Raw genomic sequence first — 7,362 nt, forward strand, 5'->3', positions numbered from 1 at the left:
ACAGTGGCTGACGCCTGTAATCCCAGCACTTTGGGAGGCCGAGGCGGGTGGATCATGAGGTCAGGAGATTGAGACCATCCTGGCTAACATGGTGAAACCCCGTCTCTACTAAAAAATACAAAAAATTAGCCAGGCGTGGTGGCGGGCGCCTGTAGCCCCAGCTACTCGGGAAGCTGAGGCAGGAGAATGGCGTGAACCCAGGAGGCGGAGCTTGCAGTGAGACGAGATCGCACCACTGCACTCCAGCCTGGGCGATAGAGCGAGACTCTGTCTCAAAAAACAAAACGAAACAAAACTGAACATAGCATAACTTAAAGAAACAAGACAAAACAAAACAAAAAAACCACCAGGCGCGGTGGCACATGGCTGTAATCCCAGCACTTTGGGAGGCCGAGGCGGGTGGATCACCTAAGGTCAGCAGTTCAAGACCAGCCTGAGCAACATGGTGAAACCCTGTCTCTACTAAAAATACAAAAATTAGCCGGGCGTGTTGGTGGGCACCTGGAATCCCAATTACTCAGGAGGCTGAGGCAGGAGAATTGCTTGAACACGGGAGGCAGAGGTTGCAGTCAGCCGAGATTGTGCCATTGCACTCCAGTCGGGGTGACAGAGTGAGACTCGGTCTCAAAAAAAAAAGAAAAAAGAAAAAAAGAATGAGGGAAACTATGCAATGATTAAAAAACAACTCCCCAAGAGACGGAGTCTCGCTCTGTCGCCCTGGCTACAGTGCAGTGGCGCAATCTCGGCTCACTGCAAGCTCCGCCTCCCTGGTTCACGCCATTCTCCTGCCTCAGCCTCCCGAGTAGCTGGGACTACAAGCGCCCACCACTACGCCCAGCTAATTTTTTGTATATTTTAGTAGAGACGGGGTTTCACTGTGTTAACCAGGATGATTAGATAAGTTTTTATAAAAGTTAGGCCTTCAGATCAATCAGGTCTGCTATTGATTGATTGACTGGGACAGTGTCCTGCTCTGTCACCCAGGCTCGAGTGCAGCAGCAAAATCATGGCTCGCTGCAGCCTCAATCTCCCAGCCTCCTCAGTAGCTGAGACTACAGGCATGCATCACCACATCCAGCTAATTTTTTAATTTTTTTGTAGAGATGAGGTCCCATTATGTTGTCCAGGGTGGTCCTGAACTCCTAGTCTCAAGCAATCCTCCTGCCTTGGCCTCCCAAAGCTGGGATTAACAGCATGAGCCATGACGCCTGGCCAAAGTGGGCTTTTTAAACACCCTGTGCCTTGGTCAAAATCTTGAGGTCACAGCCATAACGAAAGGTATCCTGCGTGGCATAGGAAATGCTTCATCAGCCCCATTTGTTAATGGGTTATATCCTGAATTTAGTAATATAAACACATGTTGATAGAATCTGGAGATGCTCCAAGATGGATGTACGAGGAAGAATAGTATCACTTCTGAAGATAAAGATAATATCTGTAGTCATGAGACACCATATGGTCAATTTATAGACCAGAAAAAAGCCCCAAAAATGGCAAACTTTTTTTTTTCTTTTTGAGACAGAGTCTCACTCTATCACCCAGGCTGGAGTGCAATGGCGTGATCTGGGCTCACTGCAACCTCTGCCTCCTGCGTTCAAGTGATTCTCCTGCCTCAGTCTCTCAAGTAGCTGGGATTACAGGCACCAGCCACCACGTCCCACTAATTTTGTATTTTTAGTAGAGATGGGGTTTCATTGTGTTGTCCAGGCTGGTCTCAAACTCCTGACCTCAAGTAATCTGCTCGCCTCGGCCTCCCAAAGTGCTGGGATTACAGGTGTGAGCCACCGCGCCTGGCCAAAAATGGCAAACTTTTGAAAGCCATTTCTACTGTTTCCTACCTGTGCTGACTGGTCAGTGAACCAGACCTGCAGATGAAAGAAGGATGAACCCGTAACTGATGTCAAAGCCCTCTTGGAGGTTTTTTCTTCCAGCATTTGAGTCAATTCAGCCAGCCCTCGCTACTCTCTTGGCAAATGAACTCTACCTGCACATTAGTAGATACATAAAAGAAAGAGAAAAAAGATAGGGAGGGAAGCTACAGACTCATCTATGTTAGCTGAACATTTTCAAAGGACCTTAGCACAAGATACAAAACAAAAATGCTTCTAAATGCACAGTCTTGCAGTGACAGCAATGTCAGGGCAACCAACAGCCTAGAATGACCTTTGGATTTCTCCTAATAAGTAACTCTTAAATCAGCGTTTGTCAGCTTACGTCTGCATGTTTGAGCATCTTTCTGTGAGTGTATGTAGGTTTATATGTTAATTTATATGATATTTTTGGATGGCGTTACTAAACCAATTTATACAATCCTTTAAGGGACGTGTATTCAAATTGGCTTGGGGGTAAATGAGCACTCTTATAAGTTACTCTGAAAATGCACAGAAATGTTGAAACTAATCCAAAATGTGGAGTTTTTTCTAAGTTCACATGAAGGAGATCTTTGGTAAATATAGTTTTACAATTGTTAGTGAAATAAAAATAGGAGTGTTTTCAGAATTGCTGGTTTTTCCTGGGTTGGGGCGAGACAAGTTTGTGCTGTCTCTGCTAGATGCTTATGACCATTCAACCATAAATCTAACCTAAGAGTAAAAAAATGAGCAGTAAAGTCCTGGCGCGGTGGCTCACGTCTGTAATCCCAGCACTTTGGGAGGCCGAGGCAGGCGGATCACGAGGTCAGGAGTTCAAGACCAGCCTAGCCAAGATGGTGAGACCCTGTCTCTACTAAGACTACAAAAATTAGCCAGGGGCGGTGGCAGGCACCTGTAATTCCAGCTACTCGGGAGGCTGAGGCAGGAGAATGGCTTGAACCCAGGCGGCAGAGGTTGCAGTGAGCTGAGATCACGCCACTGCACTCCAGCCTGGGCAACAGAGTGAGGCTTCGTCTCAAAAAAAAAAAAAGCAGTAAAAGGAATCATTTGGTGCATGAGTCATGGAAGGTAAGCCAAAAACACCTTGGAAAGAATCATGGGTAACTTTTAAATTACTTTGCTTCTGTGATATTTTTGAAACTTGCCTGATGTATCAACAAAAATAAAATAGCGTTAGTTGATGGTGTCGGGCAGGGGACTGGGTTCCTGCGGAGGATGTGTTTTTAGGCCGAGAAAGCCTCTCTCTGCATTTGTTATTTTTCCAAGTGCTTTTAGCAAGAAATGATCAGTGTACCAAAGCATCATATCTTTGGGTGATATGGGGTGGCATTTCTTGAAATCCATCAATGGCTACCTTTGGTTAACGTCTCATGAAACTTTTCACGGGCAATCCATGCACAATTATGAAGAACAAGTGAATTAGGTAAATGTAAATGAAATAAAGGTTTATAAATAGGGCCAGTTGTGGTGGTTCATGCCTGTAATCCCAGCACTTTCGGAGGCTGAGGCAGGAGGATCTCCTGAGCCCAGGAGTTCAAGACCAGCCTGGGCAACATAGCAAGATCCAGACTCTGCAAATAATAAAATTAGCTGGGTGTGGTGGCATGCATCTGTGTCCCAGCTACTTGGGAGGCTGAGGTGTGAGGACTGCTTGAACCCGGAAGGTTGAAGTGGCAGTGAGCCATGATTGTGCCACTGCACTCCAGCCTGGGTGACAGAGGAAGACCCTGTCTCAAAAAAAAAGACTTTATAAATACACTTTTCAAAATAGTTATATTTTACAAAATATGTCTACATAAAAGTAGCTTAAAAACATTTTTGCCAGGTGCAGTGACTCACACCTGTAATCCCAACACTTTGGGAGGCCGAGGCGGGTGGATCACCTGAGGTCAGGAGTTTGAGACCAGCCTGGCCAACATGGCGAACCCCGTCTCTACTAAAAATACAAAAATTAGCCGCACGTGGTAGCACATGCCTGTAGTCTCAGCTACTGGGAGGCTGAGACAGGAGAATCACTTGAACCCAGGAGGCAGAGGTTTTGGTGAGCCTAGATTGCTCAACTGCACTCCAGCCTGGGTGACAGAGTGAGACTCCATCTTAAAGATAAATAAATAAACAAATAAAATTTAAAAAAAGCAGTTTCTGGTAAATTGAAATCTTTTTTTTTTCTCTGAGACGGAGTTTCGCTCTTGTTGCCCAGGCTGGAGCGCAATGGCGCAATCTCGCCTCACCGCAACCTCCGCCTCCCAGATTCAAGCACTTCTCCTGCCTCAGCCTCCCAAGTAACTGGGATTACAGGTATGCACCATCACGCCGGGCTAATTTTGTGTTTTTAGTAGAGGTGGAGTTTCTCCATGTTGAGTCTGGTCTCAAACTCCTGACGTCAGGTGATCTGCCCGCCTGGGCCTCCCAAAGTCCTGGGATTACAGGTGTGAGCCACCGTGCCAGCCCTATTTATTTATTTCTTGAGGCAAAATCTCACTCTGTTGCCCAGGCTAGATGGAGTGCAGTGGTGCAATCTCGACTCACTGCAATCTCCACCTCCTGGGTTAAAGTGATTCTCGTGCCTCAGCCTCCCGAGTAGCTGAGATTACAGGCACCTGCCACCATGCCTGGCTAATTTTTGTATTTTTAGTAGAGATAGGATTTTGCCATGTTGGCCAGGCTGGTCTCGAACTCCTGACCTCAGGTGATGCACCCACCTCAGCCTCCCAAAGTGCTGAGATTACCACACCTGGCCATGTTTGGATCATTTTCTAAAAGCAGTTGATATCTACATTCAAAAGTTGTTTCTTGGCTGGGTGCAGTGACTCACGCCTGTAATCCCAGGACTCTGGGAGGCCGAGGTGGGCGAGTCACCCAAGGTCAGGAGTTCGAGACCATCCTGACCAACATAGAGAAACCCCGTCTCTACTAAAAATACAGAAACTAGCCAGGCTTGGTGGCGCGTGCCTGTAATCCCAGCTACTCAGGAGTCTGGGGCAGGAGAATTGCTGGAACCCAGGAGGCGGAGGTTGCAGTAAGCCAAGATCGTGTGTCATTAGAACCACAGTGAGGCCGGGAGCGGTGGCTCACGCCTGTAATCACAGCACTTTGGGAGGCTGAGGTGGGCAGATCATGAGGTGAGGAGTTCGAGACCAGCCTGACCAACATCGTGAAACCTCGTCTCTACTAAAAATACAAAAATTACCTGGGCGTGGTGGCACACGCCTGTAATCCCAGCTACTCAGGAGGCTGAGGCAGGAGAATCGCTTGAACCCAGGAGGCAGAGGTTGTGGTGAGCTGAGATCACGCCATTGCACTCCAGCCTGGGCATCAAGAGCAAAACTCCATCTCAAAAAATAAAAAAAAAAAAAAAAAAAAGAAAAAGAAACCACAATGAGATGAACAATAAAAGAAATCTCTCCTCAAAGAGCCTCACGCTGTGACCTCAAGTCCCTGAATGAGACAACCACCACCCGTCCACGATGGTGACAGAGTGGTGCTCATGCCTACGTTTTGGCCAATCTCTCATCACGGACAGGCTGACTAGAAGGACAACACTGTCTGTAAAAATCCTCTTTGGGAAGTTCTTGGGCTGGGGTGGCTCCAGTCCTTCAATTTCTCCATGAAGAAACCATGCCCTATGGGAACCACACAGTTAATCCAGAAATGGCGCCAGCCTGAAACCACCAGCCCTAACGAGAGACTTTCCACTCTAACCGTCGAGTTGTTTTCCTGGGTTTGCTTCTGCAAATGCTTGGTAAGTGTCCCCCTGGCTCTCCCTGAGAGTGCTAGTCACCCACAGTCTTGTGATAGGAGGGTTCATTGAGCAATACATGCTCAAATAAACTTTTTTTCTTTTTAAAAAATTTTTAATAAATAGAGATAAGGTCTCACTCTGTTGCCCAGGCTGGTTCCAAACTCTGAAACTCAAGTGATCCTCCCACCTCAGCATTCCAAAGTGCTAGGATTACAGGTCTGTGCCACCACACCTGGCCTCAAATAAACTTTCTTATTTTTTAAATTTTTTCAAATAAACTTTTTTTTTTTTGAGACGGAGTCTTGCTCTCTTGCCCGGGCTGGAGTGCAGTGGTGTGATCTTGGCTCACTGCAACCTCCACCTCCCAGGCTCAAGTGATCCTCTGGCCTCATCCTCCTGAGTAGCTGGGTCTACAGGCACGCACCACCATGCCCAGCTAATTTTTTGTATTTTTGGTAGAGATGGGGTTTCACCATGTTGGCCAGGCTGGTCTCAAATTCCTGAGCTCAGATGATCCACCTGCCTCAGCCTCCCGAAATGCTGGGATTACAGACATGAACCACTGCACCCAGCCCGTTTGCCTTTAAAAGCCTGCTTGTGGCCAGGCACGGTGGCTCACGCCTGTAATCCTAGCATTTTGGGAGGCCGAGGGAGGCGGATTACTTGAAGTCAGGAGTTCCAGACCAGCCTGGCCAGCATGGTGAAACCCCGTCTCTACTAAAAATACAAAAAAATTAGTCAGGCGTGGTGGTGGGTGCCTATAATCCCAGCTACTCGGGGGGGCTGAGGCAGGAGAATCGCTTGAACCCGGGAGGCGGAGGTTGCAGTGAGCCCAGATCCCACCACTGCACTCCAGCCTGGGGAGACAGAGGGAGATTCCATCTCAAAAAAAAAAAAAAAAGCCTGTTACAAAGGCTGAACGGAGCTCATATTCCAATTCTGAGTCTCCCCGGTGGTTGTCTTCACCTTGGCCCAGGCGAGCTCTACTTACAGGGATTTTTGCCTCGCTTTCTTCTTTGGGGGCCCCTACCTAACTCATGACGTTCCCTTCTCTCAGAGCATAGGAACTAGGCCCTGGCTGCTTCAGGCTGTTCTCCCTATCTCAGGATGTTGCATTTCCAGCACGTTCCACAGTTATTCTTGGGAAACACAAGCAGGAAAGGGATTTACCTGGGTGGAATCGCAGTGGCTGAAAAACTGTGGCGGCCCCTGCAAGGAGACCCAGGCTTCCCTGGCTTCCGAGGGCCCATGGTGGGCATCCACCATTCACAGCAAGGTTGGGGGATGCTCAGTGCCTGGGAGCCATCAGTCTGGAAGGCTTCCTGGAGGAGGCGAGACTTAGGCCAGTGAGGTCAGTGACTGGGGGGCATCCCGGGAGGGCCCAGCAAGAAGGGGACAGGGCCCTGGAGAACAGGATGAGGCAGAAGCAAAGGTACAGCCTCCCAGAGGCCCAAGGCGGGGTCCCACTGACCCCTTTCAGGCCAAGGGCAGCAGGAGGTGGAAACCTCAGGGGCCCCCATAGTGTCCAGGCTGGTTTCCAGGCTGAGGGGCTCAGGGCGTGAGGCCTGAGGGGCCCAAGTGGTCTGAGATGACCCAAGCTGGGCAGCCCTGGTAAGGTTACGTGGTGGGGGTGGAGAGTGCTTGGGTGAGGTGGGGTTGGAGCTGGGCCTCAAAGGACCCAGAACCCTGAGGTTTGAAGCCTGGATATGGCAAAGCGTCAGGTATACCATAGGCACTCAATCATTGTGT

Source organism: Homo sapiens, chromosome 16, assembly GCF_000001405.40.
Source record: "Homo sapiens chromosome 16, GRCh38.p14 Primary Assembly".
NCBI classification, from domain to species: domain Eukaryota; kingdom Metazoa; phylum Chordata; class Mammalia; order Primates; family Hominidae; genus Homo; species Homo sapiens.